General features: G+C 53.3%; 1 long non-coding RNA gene and 1 pseudogene across 1 annotated transcript, besides 7 other annotated features; both read right to left on the bottom strand.

The window, feature by feature from the left end:
• Window positions 617-1,467: an enhancer, noted in NCBI's record as "H3K4me1 hESC enhancer chr17:16776498-16777348 (GRCh37/hg19 assembly coordinates)". NCBI's record gives its function as "activates a minimal SCP1, AML or CMV promoter by ChIP-STARR-seq in naive H9 embryonic stem cells {active_cell/tissue: H9 hESC(naive)}" and the evidence as "EXISTENCE:reporter gene assay evidence [ECO:0000049][PMID:30033119]".
• Window positions 1,152-1,211: a silencer, noted in NCBI's record as "silent region_8229". NCBI's record gives its function as "represses an Ori minimal core promoter by ATAC-STARR-seq in GM12878 lymphoblastoid cells {active_cell/tissue: GM12878}" and the evidence as "EXISTENCE:reporter gene assay evidence [ECO:0000049][PMID:35858748]".
• Window positions 1,468-2,318: an enhancer, noted in NCBI's record as "H3K4me1 hESC enhancer chr17:16775647-16776497 (GRCh37/hg19 assembly coordinates)". NCBI's record gives its function as "activates a minimal SCP1, AML or CMV promoter by ChIP-STARR-seq in naive H9 embryonic stem cells {active_cell/tissue: H9 hESC(naive)}" and the evidence as "EXISTENCE:reporter gene assay evidence [ECO:0000049][PMID:30033119]".
• LOC124903939 (uncharacterized) lies at window positions 1,780-7,927 on the bottom strand. The gene is made up of 2 exons (XR_007065645.1): window positions 7,784-7,927; window positions 1,780-3,556 (listed from the first exon to the last, which is right to left on the bottom strand). It is a non-coding gene; the product is annotated as an uncharacterized LOC124903939 (long non-coding RNA).
• Window positions 2,319-3,169: an enhancer, noted in NCBI's record as "H3K4me1 hESC enhancer chr17:16774796-16775646 (GRCh37/hg19 assembly coordinates)". NCBI's record gives its function as "activates a minimal SCP1, AML or CMV promoter by ChIP-STARR-seq in primed H9 embryonic stem cells {active_cell/tissue: H9 hESC(primed)}" and the evidence as "EXISTENCE:reporter gene assay evidence [ECO:0000049][PMID:30033119]".
• Window positions 3,282-4,275: an enhancer, noted in NCBI's record as "H3K27ac-H3K4me1 hESC enhancer chr17:16773690-16774683 (GRCh37/hg19 assembly coordinates)". NCBI's record gives its function as "activates a minimal SCP1, AML or CMV promoter by ChIP-STARR-seq in naive H9 embryonic stem cells {active_cell/tissue: H9 hESC(naive)}" and the evidence as "EXISTENCE:reporter gene assay evidence [ECO:0000049][PMID:30033119]".
• Window positions 18,530-20,842, bottom strand: COTL1P1 (COTL1 pseudogene 1; annotated as a pseudogene).
• Window positions 20,276-20,776: an enhancer, noted in NCBI's record as "H3K4me1 hESC enhancer chr17:16757189-16757689 (GRCh37/hg19 assembly coordinates)". NCBI's record gives its function as "activates a minimal SCP1, AML or CMV promoter by ChIP-STARR-seq in naive H9 embryonic stem cells {active_cell/tissue: H9 hESC(naive)}" and the evidence as "EXISTENCE:reporter gene assay evidence [ECO:0000049][PMID:30033119]".
• Window positions 20,777-21,277: an enhancer, noted in NCBI's record as "H3K4me1 hESC enhancer chr17:16756688-16757188 (GRCh37/hg19 assembly coordinates)". NCBI's record gives its function as "activates a minimal SCP1, AML or CMV promoter by ChIP-STARR-seq in naive H9 embryonic stem cells {active_cell/tissue: H9 hESC(naive)}" and the evidence as "EXISTENCE:reporter gene assay evidence [ECO:0000049][PMID:30033119]".

The following is a 23,123-nucleotide window of genomic DNA, read 5'->3' as shown; positions in this document are numbered from 1 at the left end:
CACACAGAAACCCAACAGTTCTTTCCAGGCTTCAACCTGTAAAACCCGACTCCACTCTGAGTATTCCAGGCCCACACATCAATGACAGTGCCTTGAAAACAGAACAAAGTTCCCCTGTAGTGTCCACACCAGGTTGGGGGCTGTCACACCCCTACTAAATGCATGAACGGCACTAAGATTGGGACAGTACAGGGCGGTGGGGCACTGAAAAGGGGCCCCTAACCCAGCTCAGCCTCCCCGAGGAGTTGCCGCTCAGCTGCGTGCTGTGAGGTAAATGTAGAGAGAAAATGCTTCACAACCAGCAAGCCCGGTGCGGTGTGGTGCAGGCCCATCCAGCCGCCCACAGCGCCCTGCTGGGCTCAGAGGACAGGGGACGCTGCAAGGGGTGGGGCAGGGCTGCGTGGAGGGGGCCCTGTTTGAGCTGAGCCTCTGTGCTGAGTTCAGTAGTGACCTCCCTAAGAGTCATGTCCACCCAGCACCTGTGAAAGTGACCTGATTTGGAAATAGAGTCTTCGCAGATGTGATCAAGGGAAGATGAGGTCTTGCTGGATCAGGGAGGGCCCTAACCCGGCGACTGTTATCTTTATAAGGCAGGGGATATTGGACAGAGACACAGGAAGGAAGGCCACGTGAAGACGGAGGCAGAGGTTGCATCCAGAGCCCAGGAACACCGAGGGCTTCCGGCCACCAGCAGAAGCCAGGGAAGGGGCCAGGAGGGGCGGAACCTGCCAACCCCTCGATCCTGGACTCTGGCCTGACAGGATAAACTTCTGTTGTGTTAAACTCCATTTGTGACACTGTGTGATGGCTGCCACAGGACACCCCAGCAGCTTGAAGCAGGCCTTATCTAAAGGCCCCTCAGCACCTGTGGGTGGGCAGCCGCTCCTCCTGGCTGACAGCCGTCCTGGATGACAGCCACAGGTGATAGCCTTGGGTGACAACCCTCCTGGTTAACAGTCCTCCTGGGTGACTGCCCTTGCTGGGTGACAACCCTCCTGGGAGACAGCCCTCTTGGGTGACATGCCTCCTGTGTGACAGCCCTGGGTAACAGCCCCCCTGGCTGACAGCCCTGGGTGAAAGCCCTGCAGGATGACAGCCTTCCTGAGTAACAGCCCCCTAGCTGAGAGCCCTTCTGAGTAACAGCCCTCCTGGGTGACAGCCCTCCTGGGTGACAGCCCTCGATGCTCCAGAGTGGCTGCCTGGCATCCAGCAGAGAACCAGGTGCCAGCACCTCTTGATGGTCCCCAGCAGGTGGCGCCACTGGGCTCCTCTGCACCCCGGGTTCTGGATGGGGCTGGGAGGAGCCAGTTTAGGCGGGATGGAGCCCTGGACCACTTGCTCTGGACCAAAGTCAGGTGGTGAGCATGGGTGCTCACCCGGGTGAGCACCCGGCTTCTTTACCTTCCTGAGGCCTTGGTCGAGGGGCTGGCTGCCTGCCCTGTGCAGAGGACTTTGTCCCTGGGGTGGGTGGGTGCAATAAATGTCAGGGCTCTGATCCAGGAACAGAGGGGCACAGAGGGTAAAGGGTCCCTCACTCTCCCCTGGCAGCGGCCCCTTGTCACAATCTAGGAAAATGTCCAGAGACTGCCGGGTGGGAAGTTTTGCAAACCAGTACAGTGGGTCAAAACCAGTCCAGCCGCCCCACTGAACAGATTCTGCAGTAGGTCACACCTGCAATCCCAGCGCTTGGAGAGGCTGAGGCAGGAGGATGGCTTGAGCCCAGGAGTTCCAGGCTGCCTGCCCCTTGCACCCCAGCCTGAATGACAGAGCGAACCAAGACCCTGTTGCCTCTTTATTTAAAAAACAAACAAACAAAAAAACTTTTAAAAAGTAGGTTCTGGAGCCCGACTTTCTGGCCCAACTCCAGCTTTGCCACTGTCTCAGGCAGGGGCTCAGAGTCAGACTCCGGGACAAGGATTCCAGAGCAAGTGCTTGGCTTGGGAGATGCAGGAAGCCCCAGGGGAGGGCACGAGAGGGAGGGAAGGGAAGAAGCCAGTAAAGTATGTGTTATCAAGGCAGTTACCAGGGAAGCACCAGGCTCTGTGCTGTGGGGAGCCCTGGGAGACAGCGTGGAGCAGGCCCCAGAGGTTGCCCTGCTGAGGAGCAAGGGGTTGGAGTAGTTGTCCGCCACCCCCATAGCCACTGTTGGCTGAGACCCTCTCCTGGGGCAGGGACTCTCCAGGCCTCCAGCGGTGGAGCCTGCCCATCGTTGCAGCTGGGAGAAGCAGCCCAAGGATCCTGCTCGGGCGTCCCAGGCTTAGACGTGAAGAGGCGAGTCCTGCATGGGGAGGGTGGGTGACTGATGGATGGGACACCAGCTGTGTCCTCTGCGGTCACTGGGCAGCTGTGTGACCTCAGGCAGTTGCTCAGCCTCTCTGTGTCTTCTCATCCTCCTTTGGTAGGAGGCTGCCTAGGCCCAGTAAAGGTAGAGGGCCTAGAACTGCGCCTGACACAGCACTACGCATGCCAGGATCTCAGGAGCTCAAGAGGTAGTCCTGTCGCACCCCGTTTCACAGAGGAGGATGTGGAGGTCAGAGTGGCTAAGACAACTGCTCGATGCCACTGGGCACCAGAGGGCAGATGGGGCCTGGGGGACCCTGATCCCACACTCACAGGACCCCTGTCCAGTGCGCTCCTGTGGGTAGATAAAGGCAACGCTGCCTCCAGGACCACCTCCCTCTTGCCCCCGCACCAGCCAGGCATCCTCTGGGCAGGGACCATGGCACCATGACCCCCACCTGTGGCCGGGCCTTCTGGGTCCTCTCCAGGAGGTGTCTTGGCACCACGCTGTGGCATCAGCATCACACACAATGCTGAGATGAAAAGTCTTACGCAGGTGTCTTCGCACACCTGAGCAAACATTTCTACAGGAATAATTCCCCCCAGCAGGATTCTTGGATCAAAGGGAAGCACACATGATTATTCTAGAAGTTGACAGCCATTGTCCAACTGACGCCCTCACCCACAGGGCTCTTTCCCCACATCCTTGGCAATACCGGGTCCTTGTTTTTAAATCCGTGCCGACCCGATGGGCAGAGAGTGGCACCTTGTCATGCTGTCTCCTGCCTGTTTGATCCAGGATTTTGTGGAACGTGGGTTTTGCAGCTGCTGGCACTTCTTCTGCACATTCTCTCTTTGTATCCTTTTCCAGATTGCTATTTCTTTTTAACCTTTTCCAGATTGCTATTTCTTTGGGGCTTTTTTCTTAGTGATTTGTAGGGTGCTTTAAAATAAAATCCTCTGTGACATGGTCTGTAGGTGACAAATATTTCTTCTCAGCTAATTGTTTTACTTTCAGCCATGTTGGTGGGGACTTTGTGATTGTTTTGTTTCTTGTGATTGGTCTTTGGAAGTTGCTCATGTTAGTGTAATCAGATTTGTCATTCTTTTCCTTTGTCATTTCAGAGTTTGTGTCAGGAATTCTTCCCTCTTCAACCCGTTCCTCCGCCTCCCTCCGCAGACCAGCCGGTGTTCTCTCTAGATCTGCCTCTCCCTCCATGCCATGCTCTTGGGCCCTTCATGGTGAAGCCAGGTGGCGGTCCTCCTGCCCCTGCCCCTGAAGGAGAAAGCCCCAAGAACTGCTGTGTTCATGTCCCCTTCCTGGAGCCCCATCTTCACGTGCCCACCTACCTCCTTGACATGCCCGAGCCCCTATCACTTTCCTCTCGCAGCAGACTCAGGTGCAGAGCCCGAGGACTCTGGTCTGACACCGATGGCTTCTTAACTACAATCAGCACACCTGCTGCTCACGACCCCTGGCCAGACCAAGTCACAGCCAGGCCCAGCCCTGGATTCGAGATTGTTATTTCTGCGGAATGGATCATCCAGGCATCTCTGGCTTGTCTCTGGCCCCCCTGCAACCCCCCACCATGCCCCGGGGCTGCTGCTGCTGATGTCTCCTTCCTGCCTACAACGGACCCAGTTCCCCCATGTTCATCGCTGGGGCTGGGCCACCTGCTGCTCCCCCTGGCTCATCCACTGCCCGTTACCAGGCCACACACAGCTCATCAACCTACAGCCACACTTGTCACACGTCCTTGCAGACCACGAGTCCAGAGAAGCACGTGATGCAACCTCTCACACCTGACTCTTACAACCAGCAGGCCACTGGGAGGCTGCTCTCCTTGCCTCTGGGGCGGCAGCAGGGGAAGCAGGAGAATGAACAGCCTCCAAAACTTCTCCTCAGACGGAGCCGCCATGGAGGAACAAAGGGTCATCATCAACAAAGCCCATTTAGTCCAATCAGCCTCCTGCCCAGCAAACCAGGAGGCATGCTCTGCCCTTAGCCAGCATCCCAGGGGCCCGGCCCTGGCAGCCTCTTTGTTATTCCTGACTCCCGGGACCAGGACTCTCAGGGTGCCCATGCCAGGGAGGCCTGCATGGCCGGGAGCAGGTATTTCCTTCTGTGCCCTCTGCGGGCTCAGGAAGACCCCACCCTGCAGGTGGCAGGAAGGGGCTGTGTTGAGCAAGGGGCCCAGCAGCTGGAGTGGGCCTGGGTCTAACTCTTCACTCCTGTTTGCATTGGCAAAGCACCGCAGCTGACACGGGCTGCGGGAGCACCATGCTCAGGGGAGCCGGCGATGGCTGTTTCCCAGCTGCTTTGCAATTTGCTGAGTTCAACACATATGTATTGACTGCCCACCATGTTTTTTGTGCTCACTTGGAAATTCTGCTGAGCGCCTACTATGTGCTAGGCCCTCGTCTGTGTGCTGGGGATATGGCCTGGGGCAAAGGTGTCAGTTCAGCTCCCCTGGGAAGTAGACAACAGGTTGGAGTTAGAGATGCAAGAACTGTGTTAGGAGAAGGAGCTGTAAAGGAGAAAGGGGCGAGGGGCAGAGCAGTCAGGGAGAGCCTGGAGAGCACCAAGCACAATGCTTGTGAAGGAGAGGGGCCACTGGAGAGCTGGGTGGGTGAGCCTCAGCAGGCCCCAGGAGGTCTCTGGAGCAAAGATGGCCAGTAGTGGGGTCCCAGATTGGGCAGGATGATTTGAATATGGTGGAGGACCCTCAAGTAGCTGGAGGCTGTCAGCTGACTGCACTTCTTGCAGAGGCTTCTCTCTTGAAGGCCGACCTGAGAAGAGCACCTCCATGGTGGCCACGGGAGATTAAATGCAGCTGCCATCCTGTGGAGGGGATGGACAGCACACCAAGCAGCAACTGCACCCCCTTCTAGAACAGAGGCCCCAAATGACAGTGCTTCAAGGGAGGTGGGAGCTGGCTGTGCACGGTGGCTCATGCCTGTAATCCCAGAGCTATGGGAGGCCGAGATGGGAGGATCACTTGAGGCCAAGGCCTGCCTGGGCAACATAACGAGACCCCACCTCTACAAAAAATACCAAAAAAAAAAAAAAAAGTTCAGCTGGACATGGGGACATGGTGGCATGTGGCTATAGTTCCAGCTACTCAGGAAGCTGAGGTGGGAGGATTGCTAGAGCCCAGGCTAGGCTGCACTGAGCTATGAGACCCAGTCTAAAAAAAAAAAATTATTAAGCAGGAGGGCAAGCCCTTTTCCATCTTTTCTTAACCCTGCTGTTTAGGATGTGGACATGATGGCGCACTGTCTTGAGCTACATGGATGAGAGAAACACCCTAGGGATGGGAGAGAGGAGGGTGGATCCCTGAATGACTGCATGGAGCAAAGTTGCCACCGCAGCCCTGCCCTGCCCTGCCACCCCTAGACCGTGTCCTGGAGAAATGAACCTCTGTCTTGTTAAAGCCACTATTGTTAGACGTAGCTAAACTAGATCCTAAATACAAACATAGCATAGCATGTTCTTTTTTTTTTTTTTTTCTGAGGCAGAGTCTCACTCTTCGCCCAGGCTGGAGTGCAATGGCGCAATCTCGGCTTACTGCCACCTCCGCCTCCCGGGTTGAAGCAATTCTCCCACCTCAGCCTCCTGAGTAGCTGGGACTACAGGCGCCCACCACCATGTCCAGCTAATTTTTGTATTTTTAGTAGAGAAGGGGTTTCACCACGTTGGCCAGACTGCTCTCGAACTCCTGACCTCAAGTGATCCACCCGTCTCGGCCTCCCAAAGTGCTGGGATTACAGGCATGAGCCACCGCTCCTGGCCAAACATAGTGTGTTCTTTTTGTCCACATAAAACTTACCATCTTGACCATCGTGAAGTGCACAGTTCAGTGGCATTAAGCACATTCGCATTGTTGTGCAACCATTACCACCATCCATCCAAGAACTTTTTGTCTTCCTCAAATTGAAACTCTGTCTCCAATGAACAGTAACTCCCCATTCCCCTTCCCTTAGCTCATATAAGTGGAATCATATAGAGTTTGTCTTTTCATGGCTGGCTTTTTTCACAGAATATTACGTCCTCACTTTCTTCCATATTGTAGCACGTGCCAGAATTTCCTTCCTTTGTAAGACTGAATATTTCATTGTAAGCACAGACCACATTTTGTATATTGATGGCCATTTGGGTGGCTTCCACCTTTTGGTTGTTGTAAAGAATGCTGCTATAGTGAGCCGAGATCACGCCACTGCGCTCCAGCCTAGGCAACAGAGTGAGACTCCGTCTCAAAAAAAAAAAGAATGCTGCTAGAAACATGGGTGAACAAACATCTGTTGGAGACCCTGATCTCAATTATTTTTTGGGTATTTTTTGGTATATACCCAAAAGCGGAATTACTAGATTATATGGTAATTCTGCACAGTGACTTTTCCACTAGTGTTTAACATGGTGTCTTGACAGAATAGCTGTAAGATTACACTGAAAAAGCAGCAGGGGAAGTGCTGTGAAGGCGGCCCATGAGCTTGTAGGAAAGGCGGTCAGCAGCACACCTCCACTGTAATGGGTTTGTTTACCCGCTAGCCTACCAACAGCTGCAGGCCCCTTTCCTGGCCCTGCCCCACATTGCTCCCCACATTAGACCCAGCTTTGCTGCACCTCTGCCCTTCTGCCCCAGCTCCTGCTTGTTACAGGGAAGGGCTGGAGGGCTCTTTATCCAGGTTTGTCATCCAATATGAGCACTCAGTGCACACGGATGGCTTTACCTGGCACTCAGCCAGTGAACTCAGCATCTGCTCCGGCCCTTTAGCACTGAGCTAGGCTATCTACCTTCATAGGCCAATCACAGGTTGTCACAGGTAAATGACCACATGTGGTTTGTGCCTCACTTTCTGACTTTGGAACATAATCCCCTGGTAGGGGTGGGGGAGGGCCATTTTTCTGGAGCTTCCTCCTATTTTCAAGCTTTATCATGCAGAACAAAACCTTCTAAGCAGAAGCCTCAATGTCCTCTTTCTGTGGGTTGCATGTGTCCCCCAAAAGGCGTGTATTCAACACTTAATCCCCAGTGCAATGGTATTGGGAGCTGGGGCCTAATAGGAGGTGTTTAGGTTATGAGGTGCCCACCGTCACGCATGGGTTAATGCTGATTATAAAAGGCCTTGAGACTGTGAGTTTGGTCTCTTACCCTCCTGATTTCCACCATGGGATGAGGCAGCAAGAAGGCCCTCACCAAATGCTGGGCTCAGGCCGGCACCATGCCCTTGGGCTTCCCAGCCTCCAGAATTACGAGCCACATAAATGTCTGATTATTATAAATGACCCAGTCTCAGGTATTCTGTTATAGCAGCACGAAATGGACTCAGACATCTGTCTGCCAGCCCTGCCCTCCTGAGGGCTGGAATGCCGTTCGCCGCACTTCCCAGCCTCTCTACTTTGCCTCACACTGACTTCCCTCCCTGGAACCAGCAGTTCCTGCTTATTTGGGCATTTTCAGATCTTACTGATCTTTCAAGGGCACCTCCTCTGTGAACTTACCTGGGTCCTTCCCAGCTTGGAGGGATCTCACAGCACATGCTACGTTCTACCATCTCTTCTAAAGCACAGTTCCTGGGCCAGAGCCCCAGCATGGCCTGCAGGCTGCAGGAAATGTGAATTCCAAGGCCCCCCTAGACTTCCTGACTCAGAAATTGGTGGTGGAGCCAACAATCTGTGTCTTATTGGCTTAGATAGTTCTAGGTCTACCAGGCTGCCAGGAGGCCTCAATGGCCCGACAATCATGGGGCACGAAGGCAACGCCCGCGAGTCAGCAGCAGGGGGTCCCAGCTGGTCTCCCCAACAGTTCTTCTTCCCTCCTCTTCTTCTTAAAGTGTGGAAAAAGTTACAGCAAAGTACACAAATGTTGGTGTGCAAATCAATGCGTTTTAACAAATGTGTCCACCCCATCATCACACCCCAGATGAAGACGTGGAACATTTCCAGGACCCCAGAAAGCTCCCTGGTGCCTCCTTCCTGTCAATAACCCCATCCCCCACCCACCCCACCAAGAAACCACCACCAGGACTTCTGTCTCCATAGATGACTTTTGCCTGTTTTTGAACTCCATACTGTGCATGCTCTTTTGCGTCTGGATTCTTTTGTCTGACTTTATCTGCGAGATTCATCTAACTTGTTGCATGGAAGAGTCATTTGGTCTTTTCCTCTGCTATGCAATGCAGGAGAACATTTGTTTGATTTTAGTTTATAGAATGCAGTAAGTTTTCTTTTGGTGGACATCAGCACTTGTTTCTCTTGGGTGTCTGACCCTTTCCCATGCTTTCCAACTCTAGCTTCTAAGCTCTCTGAGAGTACAGAGTTTGCCTCTGTCTATCCTGGCCTGACACGCAGGCTCCTCCTGTCAGCATTTACTCAGTCCAAATTGCAACAGGGGCAGGTCCCTGCCAGCTGAGGGAGCTATTCTTCCAGCTCAGCAGGGGGTTGGCCAGTCTTGTCCTCTGGGACAAAGCCCAGCCAGAGTTCTGGGCACTGTGGTTCAGAAGGCCTGAGACACGTGGTTTTACCAGGGCTGGGTACCAAGAACCATGCTTGAGGCTGACGGCATTTCATTGGCAGCGTCTGTGGGGGGCTTGGGGACTCAGCCGTGGGAAGCCTGTTCTGCACACAGCCATGGCGCAAGAAATGCTTTTTCCTGCGACGGTTCAGTGAGAACCATGATGGCAGTGGTGCAGCATCCTCCCAGCTTGGTTTTTAAACATGGGAAGGGCTTCTAAAAAGTCACACAGCTGGTTAATGTTTGAACCAGGGTGGCACAGGTTTGTGCGAAGCAGTGAGTGGAGCTGTCTGAATGCCAGGAGGAGGGTCACCCTGGAGGCGGGTGACACAGGGGTCAGTGCAGGTCAGAGGCAGAGGCTGGGCCCAGATGCCATGCGAGCTCCAGGCCACTTTCCCAGAGAAGTGAGCGGCGGCCAGGCTGCCGGAGGCGGTGTGGCCTCTTCAGGCCCTCACTGGTCCTGATTTTGAGGGGTGACTCATGCCGGCTTGGACATCCACTTCTGGCTCAAGTTGCTCTGGGTTCCTCCACACAGACCAGAGGGATTCCTGCGTCACAGGAATCCAGGAAGGGGTGGGGGGAGTTGCAGGTTGAGAAGACAGAGGTGAGTGGCCCCCGGGCCCCTCCCCTGTTGAGTCACGGGAAGGGAATGGAAATAGTGTGTGCTGAAGCTGAGTCAGGGCCCAGCCTCACCTTCTCGGGACCTCATATGGGCTCTGAGGCGAGAGGCCCACCTGTCCCCCCCTCCTTGCTGCCTCCTCTCCCAAGCATGAGGAGGGCGAGCAGGAAGGATTTAGGTTAGCTCTCAAGAAGGACTTCCTGAATCGCGCCAGGCGACACTGAGAGGCATCTCTCAAAGGAAGTTGTGAAATCTTCCTTGGGATCAATTTGAGGTTTGGTCTGGGTCCAACCAGGTCTATCTTTATGGCTCTAGAATATTTTCAAGTGTTAGACATTCCTTCCTCGACATGACTCAGGGGGCATCCGATGTGTGCCAGGCCTGGTGGCAGGAGCAGGGCCAGCTGAGTGTGGGACATGCCCCACTCTGGGGGTCTTCTCTAGGTCAGCATTACAGCAGCCTTGGAGAAGACGGCTCCCACCCCTTCCGTCCTCCCCTCTCCTGGCTCCCTTGGGCAGCCTGCTCTGCCAGCCACACCACACTCCACTTTCGGATTCCGGAAGGAAACTATGGGTAATAAATAGGACAAAGGGTCAATTTCCTTCCTGTGCAAATCCCAGTAGCATTTGCAGAGTGCCAAGCATGGGAGGGCGCCCTCCTAAGTGCTTTACCTGCCTTCACTCCACCACAGCCCTGTGAGGAAGGTGCTCCCCTTTCACAGAGAAGGAAACTGAGGCTCAGTGAGGTGAGCAGCCTGGCTACAGTGGCACTGCCAGTGAGCAGCTGACCCAGCCTGTGACCTGGGCTGTGGCGCAGCAAACAGCCAGCAAGCACTGGGTGCTTTTCCTGTGCTGGGCCAGCACTTTGCAGGCATCGACTCAATTGAACCCTCACAACCACCACACATTGGTAAGAAAACCACCCTGACAGTCCTGGGAAAATGCACAGTCTTAGTGCTCTGAAGGAAACAAAAAAGGACACATCAGTCATCAAAGAAAACAGAGAGATCCATCTGGAGTGCCTTGAATTGGCAAATGGTTTAATTTTCCTGTATAGGGACGCTGGCCTTGCTGGGGCACCATGGAGCGGGGCCCCGTGCTGGTGGGTTGTTCACTGGGACCACCCTTCTGGAATGTGGGAAGGCGGCATGGCAGGACCCACCGAATGCCTTCAAAAGCCAGTGGTCCATGCCCCTGTCTCCTTCCTTAGAGTCTTCCAGAAAAGACTGGTCAGAGGTGCAGCACAGATGAACCTACAAAGCTTTTCATCAAAGCATCACTTACAATGGTGAAAAGGCAGAAGAATCACTGAATTCCACCAAGGTGGAGCAGCCGAGGAAATCGTGGGTAGAACACTAGGGAGTCACAAGAAACAACATATTTGAGGGGACATTTATAGCAGAGGAAAATGCTCATGATCTAATGCTACACAAAAAGGGCAGGATACAAAATAAGGTGTATTTGAAGAAAGAGGGTGGCATGGTTGTCCATCCACTGCTTTCAGGGACTGGACTAAGTGACCTGGATCAGAGGGAGGGCAAGAGATCTGCTTCCTGCCTGAGCCCTGTGAACAGTTGAAATCACTCGTGTGTCTGCAGGAATCATTCTTATATTTGCTATTCTGTGGTAACTTCAAACCTACACAAAATTTGCGAGAATAAAAAACACCCTGCCACATACTCTTCACCTACATTCACCCATTGTTAACATTTTGTCGTATTTATTTTCTCTCTCATTCTTTTTTTTTTTTTTGACAGAGTGTCATTCTCTTGCCCAGGCTGGAGTGCAGCGGTGCGATCTCAGCTCACAGCAACTTCCATCTCCTGGATGCAAATGATTCTCCTGCCTCAGCCTCCCAGGTAACTGGGACTGCAGGTGTGGACCACCATGCCTGGCTTATTTACTTGTATTTTAGTAGAGACAGGGTCTCACTGTGTTGGCCAGGTTGGTCTCAAACTCCTGATGTCAAATGACCTGCCCACCTCAGCCTCCCAAAGTGCTGGGATTACAGGTGTGAGCCACCACGCCCAGCCTGTTTTTCACATTTCTATTTCATGCTCCAGAATTCAGGAGCTCTAAGAGGAGGCTGCCTGGGCGACCTGCCTGTGGTAAGAGTGGACAGGCTGCCTCCCGGCTGCTCCGAGGATGGCCCTGGGTCTGAGGGAGGGCATTGCACTCTGGCGTGTTTGGGACTGGCCTTTGGAGATGTAAACATGGAGCCTCCCTCAGGAACCCAGGGCAGGCGCCCCTGGGAAGAGGAATGGCTCCTTCTTTCCTCCCTCAGTCCCTTTCCTGAATGCCTATGTCACTTCTGGGCACACAGGGGCTCAGCTTGCAGGGAGCCACTCTCCAGGTGAGGCTAAGGTTTGGGGGCTCTCTCTGTGCTCCATCTGCTCCAGCACACTCTCCTCAGTTGGGCCTCCTCTGTTCTCTGCTTTGCGCTCCCTGCAAGGAGTCCAATCCTCGAAGGTGGGAGAGTCCAGAGAAGAAAAGAGCCAAATGGAGGAAGAGGACCCTGGGAACCCTTGGGTGCCGCAGAGCTTGGGAGGTGACGCGTCTGGCCCAACTCTGCTCCTCTCTGCCGGTTCCCAAAGCCAGAAGTAGGAAGCTCCCTTATCCTGTCTTTTCAGAGGAAGTGTTGAGTCCAACAGGATGGGATTCAAATCCCAGCCTCACCACTGATTCTGGACAAGTTTATTCTCCTTTCTTAGCCTCTGTTTCCTCATCTGGAAAGTGGGGCTGTCTGAGAACTAAACCTGAGAAGGCACAGGAAGGGCTTCCCGTGGCTTCTGCAAAGAGCTCCATGAACACTCGCTCTCCTTCATCCGAGCAGCAATCCTCCCTGGGCCTCAGGTGCAGGGGGTAGCGGGGAACAAAACACCATCCTTGTGCTTTTACAGCTTACAATCCAGTGATTCTCATCATCAGTACATGTGGCCAAAGGCCCCTGGCTGACTTGTAGGCTGTGGGGTTGAATATGAGCCTCTGGGTGGTGTGGAAAATCCGGGAAACAGGTGGAAAGGGCAGCTATTCAAACCCTGCGAGGGTGCCAGGGCCATCAGGTTACACGTGGCAGCGCAGGTGAACTCAGGTCTTCTCACCTGGGGCTTGTCAGGTACTAGGGACAGAAGGCACCCAGATTCCTCTAAGGAGCCACAGGGCTGGCCAGGCCTTGAGAAGAACAGAGTGTCAAAGTTCAGGGGACCCTTTCTCTCATCCCTTCAGGAGCCGATGTCCCTGCAGGGCCCCCACAAAGCACAGCCGAGTTTCTCCCACTTTCTCTGCATCTCTTTCTGCCTTCAGCTTCCTTTGTGGTGGCCTTTGTTTTTCCTGCCCATCTTTGGTGGCTCTCAAATGTCATCCCTGCTCCACAGAGAAAAGGGTGCCAAGTAGCCAACCATCCAGCATGAGGGTCCCCTTCAGCAGCTCGCTCAGGCCAGGGTCCTCCCAGGATGCTGGTCCTGTGAACGGATGGAGGCTTCTGCCTCCTGGTCACCGTGGCCCCGGTGGGGAGGGGCGGTCAAGGAGCACAGGTGGGATTTGTGCAAAAGATCTGGCCCATGGCTCCTTTCTCGGTAGGGGCTGTGGGCTTCCAACCTTCCCAAGATTCCCCATGCAGAGGCAGGGCCTAAGCCACGGACCCCTTGGTCATCCAGGCCCCTCCAAGGCCCTGGGCCCGCCAAGACCTCTAGCCTTGAAGCACATGGTCCCCAGCTTATGTAAAACTTGGCATGAGTGAGAAACTCAGCCTCAGTGGGTGAAGACTGCTGCCTCTTTCCGGCCTTTCCTCCATCACACTTCGGGGAGGTGAGGGGGCTCAGGCTTGACCATCAGGGGGTGCTCAGGCACCTCCTTGCATAGGAAAGTTGTTTCTCACCACCCCAGCATGGGCTTGGCTTCCGGGAGCCCTTCCTCCTCCTAGGCTGACTCACCTGCTTGGCGCCAGGACATGGGAGATTCAGGGCCAGGGGCGGGGTCCTGCGGTTGTGGGCTGCACATAGATGGTGAAGGAGAATCAGAGTTGAAATGCATAGAGGCTCTCTAGGACACAGTGCAAATGTACCGGCAATCCACCCACCGATTCCAACACCTGACCAAGATCCCCGGATGCAGAGCAGGCAGGCTTTGCCCATAGCCATGGAGAAACCAAAACCAGTGGGAGGGTCCCTTCCCATGTCTGCAAACGTGCTGTTCCCAGGAGCTCTGTCTTTCTTGAATGCCCCATTTCTAGCTCTAGGATTTGCATCTGACAGTGGGATGTGTGTTTATGAAGGGAAGACTACAGAATAGAATCTTTTGGGAAAATAAATGAGAGTTCTTCCATGCTTGGCCTGCTTTAACAATGCAGATTTTCCTTGTACTTGGAGCTTACCTTCTCTAGGCTATTTTCAATATTTTCAGTGGATGTGAGTTTGTTCTTGGAGCCAGACTACGTGGCTTCAAAGTCGCTTGCCACTTCCTACCTGGGACCTAAGGCGAGCCGTGGAGCTCTAGGTCCCTCACCTGTGAAACGGGAAGAACCACGGTGCCCACGTTGCATCATACACTTGCATATGCAGGCACACCCTACCTGCAAAAAGCAAGGAGCAGGGTAAGGGGGAAGCTATCTGGGTCACATTCCCCAGAAGTAGATCCTGATTTGTATGGCAGTGACTGATGAAGGACAGGCACCCAAGGAGCGCAGTAAGGGAAAGGGGGTAGCAGACAGAGAGGGGAGAAGCCATGCAAGGCTGTGGCCCCAGGCAAAATCCTACAGAAGCAGGTCCCTCGGGGGACTGTGGAGTGGAGTCACATCTCCGTTTCCCAGCCTGAGCTAAGGATACACATGTCAGTCATTAGTGAAGGGCCATCCTGAGGCAGTGGGACACTTCCAGCTCTCTGCAGAAAGGACCAAGAGGCTCCAATAGCCTGATGACAGTCTTGCTGCAAAGAGTCATAGGTGTGGACAGTTGGAAACCAAGGCCATTCAGGCCAGAAAAGGGGCACATAGAAAGGTACGAGGGGTCACGCTTCTGTGACCTACAGGTGGAGAGTGGACAGTAGCCACACAAGACAAAGGTGAGCATTCTGAATTCAGAGACCAAAAATGGAGGCTTTCACGAATATGCATGCACCATGCTTTTTCATGGGATAGTCTATCTGGAAGATCATTCCAGGCTGCAGTATGTAAAGCTACCTCATTCTTCTTTTTCACAGTTGCAGAGTTCACTGAGTGGCTACGTTATTATGGAGCTCACCAACCTCTATTGATGGGTATTTAGATTGTTTCCAGTCTTGCTATTACAAGAGAAACACACCACAATAAATATCCTTGTACTAGGGCCATCAGCACATTTGCAAGTGTCCCTGTACATTTCTAGGAGTAAGTTTTCAGATCAAAAGGCATGTGCATTAAAAAAAATGTTGATAGTGGCCTTACCAGTTTATACTCCCACCAGTAATGCAGGAGAGAGCTTGTCTCCCACACCCATGGTGACACAGTGTTATCACAGTTTTGGATAATTGCCAATGTGATAAGTGAAAAATGGGCTTAAACTGTAGTTTCCATTTGCACTTCTCTGGTTATATATTAGGCTAAACATTGTTTATCAGCTCAAGGGCCATTTCTACTTCCTGCTCTGTGAACTATCTGTTCATGTCTATACTCGTGGACATTTTTTCTATTTCATATTTTCGATTGCAGTTTCATTTGTCTTATTGACTGTAGGAACTCTTTATATATTAAGGAAATTTGGATCTTGAGTAGAGTGACTTGAGGATGGAATCAGAGGGAATTCATTCATCCAAGGGCTTCCCATTAGTTCGGCTACCTAAATTTCATATCCAAACCAGTCCTTTCCAGGATGTGGTTTTTTTACTTCTTTTCTTCTTTTGGTTCTATGAGCTAACCTATAATCTCCCGGCACATTCCCTTCTTGCTTTGCCTTGGCTGGACTTAGCCAGAGTTGATTTTGGTGGCGTAAGGAGTCTTGATATATCCACTCTCCCTCACCAGGTTGAGTCTGAGGGTCTGAGTTGATATCATCCCCATCTTCCAGCTGAGATTCCCTGCTTTTCTCTGTGGGTCCCTCAACTTCCAGGTCCAGGCAACTAGTGACCCTTCCTAGCCAGCTCACTCAGGGATGTTTGCAGCCTCCTCTCCCCTGTCCTTGTGTCTAGGCCAGAGGTCCTGTTTTCTTCACTTGGAAGGTGATGTCGCTGATTGATTTAAGAGCTTGTTTGTGCTCTCAGCTCTGGGAGTGTAGGCAGTGGTCTCCCTTGATAATTGTGTCCCAGAGCTTCAAAGGTGAGGGCCAGCAGGGCCCTTGGGGATCTTGGGGACCAACCACCACAGTGGACAGAGGAGATGCAGTGCAGAGGGGGAGCTGTCGTCCCAGGTCACACACTGTGTTGGGGGACACATGTGGGTCCAGGACCCTTTCTGAAGGGTGCTCATTCATTCTTTTGGCAAGCACTCCTCAATGGCTGGATTCCCCAGCTTACAGGCAGGGCTGTGCCATAGTGAGCACCGACTCCACAGGCAAAGGCAACCATAACTGCCCTGCAGGCCAAGGGCAGAGGAGCCTGTTTGGGGAAGTGGGGAGGTGGCTCGGAGAGGGTGGCCTGGAAAGACTAGCTTGGGTTGGGGCAGGGCAAGTGCAAAGGCCCTGAGGCAGGTGAGAATGAGCATTTTGAGCATGGAGGCCACAGGGAGAGGGTCCCACGGGCAGGGGTGTCGATCAGAGAGACCGTCCTCCAACCAAGACCACGTAACCAAGACCTAGCAGAAACGGAAACAACGGGCAAAGAGCCTTCTAGGCAGGGGAAGTGGCCCAGGGAAGGCCGTGCAGTTGGAAGGAGCCACAGAGCTACAAGGAAGTATGGCTCCAGACTGGCTGGGACAGACAGAGTGAGCTGAAGCAGTCAGACAGGATGGGGTGGACACAGGTAGGATCCATCACAGGATGGAGGGGGTCAGACTTCCTCAGGCACCTCACTCAGCTGCGCTTGTCCATCTGGACAGATCCCCCCCTGGGTGTGGCCATCGGGAAGGAATCCTGCCCCATCACTGACAATGAGCTGCATTTTTTGGAGAGGCGGCCCCTGTCCCCAAAGCTGGTGCAAGCCCTGGGTGTAGCAGGTGCACTCAGGAGGCAGGGCTGCCGGCCCAGTGATGGGTGGAGCCACATGCCTGCCCAAGTCTGGGTCTACCCAGTGTGGCCCGGCTGAGGCCACCATACGCACGGTTTTCAGCTATGCCTCATTCACTTGCTGTGTGAATCTGGGCTGCAGGGCCCTCTTCTGTGTGCCACAGGCCAGTGCCTTGCAGTGCAATTGTACCTGAGGACCTAAGGTGGTCAGGGAAGCCCCAGGTGGGACTTGGCAGGGGAAGCAGGGCCTGTGGACGGATGGAGAGCTGTCATGCGGAAAGGCAGTGTGTCCCCAGGCCCTGGCCCAGCCTCCAACCCCCCCAAGTCCCCTCCAGGCCTCTCCAGACCAGGGCCACCACATACTGGCTGTGCCATTTGGGTGAGTGACCTCACCTCTCTAAGCCTCAAAGTCCTGATCCCCACTGGGAGGGTGCAGTGAGAGGGTGAGTCTGAGCCCACTAGGGCCTGGCAGGCTCTGTATGCATGGCAGCCACCTGCCCACACTCACCCCAGACATCTGCTCATTCCAGAAACCTCCTGGGAACATCCACCATGTGCCAGGCACAGTGTCAGACAGGAGGGGACAGAGAGAAACAAGATCAACAACCGCCCTGCCCTTGTGGAGCTGGCGTTCTAGTACAGGAGACAGACAAGGTGCTTCCGAGGAGGGAGCCGTGCTCATCAGGCAATCCGCAACGCCACTCAGGAGGAGACTTTGGAGCGAGATGGAGGAGCCACCTGGGGTCTTGGCAGAGGGAACTGCAGCTGCAAAGGTCCTGAGGGAGAATGAGTGCCCAGCTTTGGAGGAGCAGAGCCGGCCTCTTGGTACCCACCCTAGGGAGCAGGTTTTCCACCTTATTCTTAGGCCCCTAGGAGATCCCCTCCGCTGTGAATGCACGAGGATGGCATCGGCCCTTTTATAGAGGGGAAGTTCTTCCTAAGAGAAAACCAAAGTCCCTCCAGTTGCAACTGAAGCTGAGCCTTCTCTTTTAGTTGCCTCCACCCCCAGACCCAGAGCCAGCTGGTTCCTCCTGCCTCCTGCTCACAGCTCCAGGAAAGCATCCTGGTGGGGAAAGTCAGTGAAACACCAGGTGGCCTAAGGAATCTTCCCAGGACTCCAAGGTGACTAGACAGGGCTATCTTATCAGCCCTGGGATGCAGTCAGGGGGGAAAAGTTCTGAAAAGAAATTGGGCCCAGGGCACTGAGGGAAGCCTAGGTCCCTTCTGAGTGCTCTGCACAGAGATAGGAGGAGAGACAGTCAGGTGTTTTGTGAGGGAGGGGATAGGTGGGTGGTAGTAATGAGGGGTGTTCCAGTCAGTGCCCAGTAACCAAGAGGAGAAAGGGAGGAGAGGGGGGATCAACTTCAGGCACAGCTGGATCCAGAACCCTGAGGCTTCGGCTATGGCTGTTCCCCACCCCCGTATCACCCGGGTCTCAGTCTTTCCTCTCTGTGACACAATAGCCTCCTCCCTAGGGCTCCTTCCTTCCACTCTTGCCCCCACAAATCCATTCTTCATATATTGTTCAAACTATGCAACTCCCCTGCTTAACCCCTCTCCCCATGGCTTCCTGACGCCTTCCACGTAAAGCAGAAAACTGTTTACCCAGGCCCCAGAGGCCCCACCGCTGACCTCCCCAGCCCCACCTTGCTCTCCTCTCCCCTTGCTCCGTCTGTCTTTTCTGTCCTTTGAACACATCAAGCACATCCCCGTCTGGCCAACATTGCACCTGCTGTCCCCTCCTCCTGGTGTGTCACCATGTGGCCACCCCTTCTCAGCAGGACAACCCAGATGTCGCTGTCCTCGGCCATCCAGCCCCCAGCCCTCTGTGCACTCCCCACACCAGCCCTGTCCGGTAGTTCCTTCAGTGATGGAAATGCTCCCCGTTCGCTGTCAAACACAGCAGCCACCCCGTGCGGCTAACAAGCCCCTGAAATGTGGCTATTGCGATGGAAGAACTGAACTCTTAATTTTCTTCTTTTTATTTTTTTTGAAAAACAAAATTTCTTTCTGTAAACTGTTTGAGTGCAGAGATGTTCTTCGCAATCCCAATACAGTACAGATTTCTTTTCCAAAATGAAATGAGCAAGGAAAAAAAGAAAAAGAGCTATATAAAATTTTCTCATGAAGAACCAAGACAATCTCATCTTTCTTTAAAAACAAATCAGGCTGGGCACGGTGGTTCACGCCTGTAATCCCAGCACTTTGGGAGGCTGAGGTGGACGGATCACGAGGTCAGGAGTTTGAGGCTAGCCTGACCAACATGGAGAAACCCCGTCTCTACTAAAAATACAAAAATTAGCCAGACATGGTGGTGGGCACCTGTAATCCCAGCTGCTCAGGAGGCTGAGGCAGGAGAATGGCCTGAACCTGGGAGGCGGAGGTTCCGGTGAGCCGAGATAGTACCACTGCACTCCAGCCAGGGCAACAAGAGTGAAACTGTGCCTCAAAAAACAAAAACAAAAACAAAACAAAAAACAAACAAACAACAAAAAATGATCCTTTTGAATGTGTGGTGCAGGTGTAGGATTGAAGCCATGGGCTTTAGTGCTGCCATGAGCCCAGGGCTTTGCTCACCGCTAGCACCACAGGAGGAGTAGCCCTCTGGCCCAAGCCATCCTTACTGCTTGTACAGAAGCTTCCTGAACCTAAGTGATCCGTTCCCAGCTCTCCTTAAATTCCCAGTCCCCACCCTGGGCCTCTCTCCCTAACACCCTCATTGCTTTGGGAGCCCCTGAAGTGAACCCTGAAATAGTCCCTCTGTCAACTCTGGGCTCAGACCTTTGCCCTTCTCTGTGTCACTAGGACATTTCAGTCAAGAGGGTGGGAACGGGTGGTTTCAGACTCTGTCGCAAAGCCACTGCCAGGCGAGGTTGTTTTTTTTTTTTTTTCAGACAGAATCTTTCCCTGTCCCCAGGCTAGAGTGTAATGGCACAATCTCAGCTCAGTGCAACCTCCGCCTCCTGGGTTCTAGCCATTCTCCTGCCTCGGCCTCCTGAGTAGCTGGGATTACAGGCACCCGCCACCACATCCGGCTAATTTTTGTATTTTTAGTAGAGACGGGGTTTCACCATGTTGGTCAGGCTGGTCTCGAACTCCTGACCTCAGGTGATCCACCCGGCCAGGCAAGTTTTAAGGCAAATTTTATCCCTTATTCGGTCAGAGCCAGACCTAACCTTCTCACCACTGAGCAATCCTGCATTTGCCAGAGATGCAACTTAGGCAACTCTGGATGAAGGTGGGATGAGGGAGCCCGGGGCAGATTCCAGGAGGTCTGGGCCTGACTACAGGAATGGACTTGTGTGCTTATGAAGGCTGCAGTCACCAGGTGCTGCTCCTGGCCCAGCTGCCCCTCAGTGGTAAACAGGAAGGGGGACCTAAGAAAACTGAGATGGCAAAACAAATCTAGGCTCCAGAAGCAACATGAGGTCGTGCAGATCCCACTAGGCAGCCTCATTATATGTAAGAGAAATGCCAGGAAAAGGGGTTACCGCAGGAGGCACCTCGGATCTGATGACAGGCAGGATCTTGCATCAAAATGATTTTTCTTTAGAACAAAAGAGAGGGGGAGAAAAGAAAAAAATCAAAGAAAGGGGTTCCACGAGCTTCATGAGATAAGACACAGCAGTGTTCTAAGGGAAGCAGGAAGGTGGGGGCTGTGGACGCAGGGTGGCGGGTGCTGCCTCTCATGGATTCTTTTCTCCCTGGTGGGCTGGTGGGTTGGTAGCTGAGGCCTGAGGGCCCCTTCCCCGGGGAGCAGACAGATGACTTTGGCAAGGGGCAGTGGGGAAGCTGGGGTTACTCCATCTGGGCGTTGTAATTGATTCCCCCAGTCTTCTTCAGTTCGCTTTTCATTAAATCTCCCTCCAGCTCCTTCTGATCACTGATCACAAACTCCTTAGCGAAATCCTGTATGACCTCCTTCACCAAGGTATTGACGTTCTTGCCGATCCACCTGATGAGGGTGGCATCCCTCGTGGTGACGCACACGAAGGCAAGCAACCAGATCTCGTCTGTGCACTGGGGGATGAAGTGCTGGTATTCTGCTCCTTGCCCAACAGGGACGATGATGGAGCCGTCATATTTAAAAGTCACCCAGATGATGGCCAAGCCATCGTCTCGCGCCAGGTTGTAGGCCTCCCCGCAAGCCTCTTTGTCAACCTTGGTGGCCATCGCAACAGGGCCACAGCGGGGACACTGCCCGGGGTGACTGAGCATGCCCCTGGCTGCGGCGGGGATGGGAGCGAGGTAGTGGTGACAGTGATGTGGCGTCTGCAAGCTCCAAGCACGGCTGCAGCTCTGCTAAAGTCTTTTTTTTTTTGAAATGGAGTCTCACTCTGTTCCCCAGGCTGGAGTGCAGCGGCGTGATCTCGTCTCACTGCAAGCTCCGCCTGCCGGGTTCACTCCGTTCTCTTGCCTCGGCCTCCTGAGTAGCTGGGATTACAGGTGCCCACCACCACCCCCAGCTAATTTTTTTGTATTTTTAGTAGAGATGGAGTTTCATCGTGTTAGCCAGGATGGTCTCGATCTCCTGATCTCGTGATCCGCCCGCCTCGGCCTCCCAAAGTGCTAGGATTACAGGCGTGAGCCACCATTGCCCGGCCGCTAAACTCTTTAATTTTCAATTACTCCAATTGCTTGAAACTCAAATAGCCATATGGGGCTAGTGGCCACCATTTGGACAGAGTGACTCCAACATTCCATGTGGTGTAATTTTATTTGCTAGCCTTTAGCATCATGTAATGTGATCTTCTTCACTTCTTTTCTGTCTCTGTGACCAGAGCATCAGCTCCTTGAGGTGGGAATTGGTTTGTCTTGTCCACTGCTGTATGCTGGGGCTAGAAGTGGGCCTGGCATATAGTAGATGCTCAATATGTAATTGCCGAATGAATGCATGAGTAAATGAATGACTCCTGGGGACCATGAACTCTGAATTTCTCCAAAAGGAATGCTAGTTCTGCCAGGGCTTGCTGCTGTGTGACCTCAAGTCAGGATCTTGCCCTCTCTGGGCTCAGCATCCTGGCCAAGGGGCACTGGGGCCCCTCTGGTCCTAAGGCTCTGAGACTTACTGCTGCTTACTCTGTCCTGTTGGGAGAAAAGCTGAGTGTTGGGAGAGAAGCTGAGGCAGAGCTTGCATGTCTGCTAGACTTGCTGGCTCCTTGCTTCTAGCACTCCCATTATCTCAAGTAGCCACATGTTTCAAAGAAAATGCTACACCATCGCAGCTGTAGCTCACTCACTTGATACATTGCTTCCTTTAAACCCCCACAGCCTCACCACCTGTTTCTTTTTTTGAGCACAAATAAATAGCCTGGGCTCCCTGTGTACCCATTGTTCTCACTTAATACATGAGAAAATGCAATATTTGGCTGTTTTTGCGTTAATTCACGTAGGATAATGACCTTCAGCTGCATCTGTGTTGCTGCAAAGGACATGATTTTGTTCTTTTTTATGACTGCCTAGTACTTTGTGGTGTATATGCACCACATTTTCTTTATTTAATGAACCGTTGGTGGATACTTACCTTGGTTCCATGACCTTGCTGTTGTAAGTTATGCTGTGATAAACATGGGAGTGCAGTGCCTTTTTATATAATGATTTCTTTCCCTTTGGGTAGATACCCAGTAGTGGGATTGCTGGGTCGAAAGGTAGTTGTACTTTTAGTTCTTTGAGATACCTCCCTACTTTTTCCATAGAAGTTGAACTAATTGACACCTACCACCGCTTGCTGGAGGTTGAGGACGCCCAGTGAGTGTGCACCCGGGCTGGAGAAGGGAGGAGGTATGGCCCGGAAAAGAGACACAGAAAGGTAATCCAAGAGGGCTTTCTGGAGGAGGTGGCAGCTGAGCCTAGAGGTGAATTTCATTGGGGAAGAGGGAGTGAGGCCTAGGCAGCTTAGGCCATGACCCCCATGGTGGGAGACGGCTGCATAAGGGTCTCTCTCCTGGCATCCATCTTTACCCATGCCTGGGCATCCTACCCCCATCACCCTTTAACCCCCGAGGGCCTTGGCTGGGTCCCAGAAATTCCCAGGAGGGTGCTCAGAGAAGACCACGGGGACTCTCATCACCCCCACCCTGGCTCACTTCCAAAAAGGCTGCAAGAAGGGTGTTGGAGGGTCTCCTGGAGGCTGCCAAGGGCATTTTCTCATGGAGCCCACGTCTCTCCCCGATCGTGGTGGCTGTGATCGGTAATTCCAGCTTCATACTGGCTACAGGTGGATGATGCCCACCTGGCTGCTGATGACTTCTGCACCAAGTGAGGCTGGGTCTCTGGAGCTGCCCCAGGGGCTGGACAAGCTGACCCTGCCTGGAGCCAACCTGGAGATGCAGCCTGAGAACCTCAAGGAGGACCTGGTCTACCTGAAGAAGAACCATGAGGAGGTGAGTTCAGCTCAGGGAATGCAGCAGAAATTCACCTGGAAGCAAGCGAGGCTGGGGCCCAGAACCTCCCTGGGTTGGGCCATGCTTCCAGTCCAGTTCCCATCCTTTATGGATGCCTAGCTCTGACCCTCAGAGGACCCTGGGTGAGGCCTGGAGGAGCCCTTTTCTCAAATAGACTTCATTTGTCCCTTGAGGCT

Source organism: Homo sapiens, chromosome 17, assembly GCF_000001405.40.
Source record: "Homo sapiens chromosome 17, GRCh38.p14 Primary Assembly".
Taxonomy (NCBI): Eukaryota; Metazoa; Chordata; class Mammalia; order Primates; family Hominidae; genus Homo; species Homo sapiens.
Note: the sequence above shows the minus strand (reverse complement) of the source record. Positions and strands in the feature narration are given on the sequence as shown.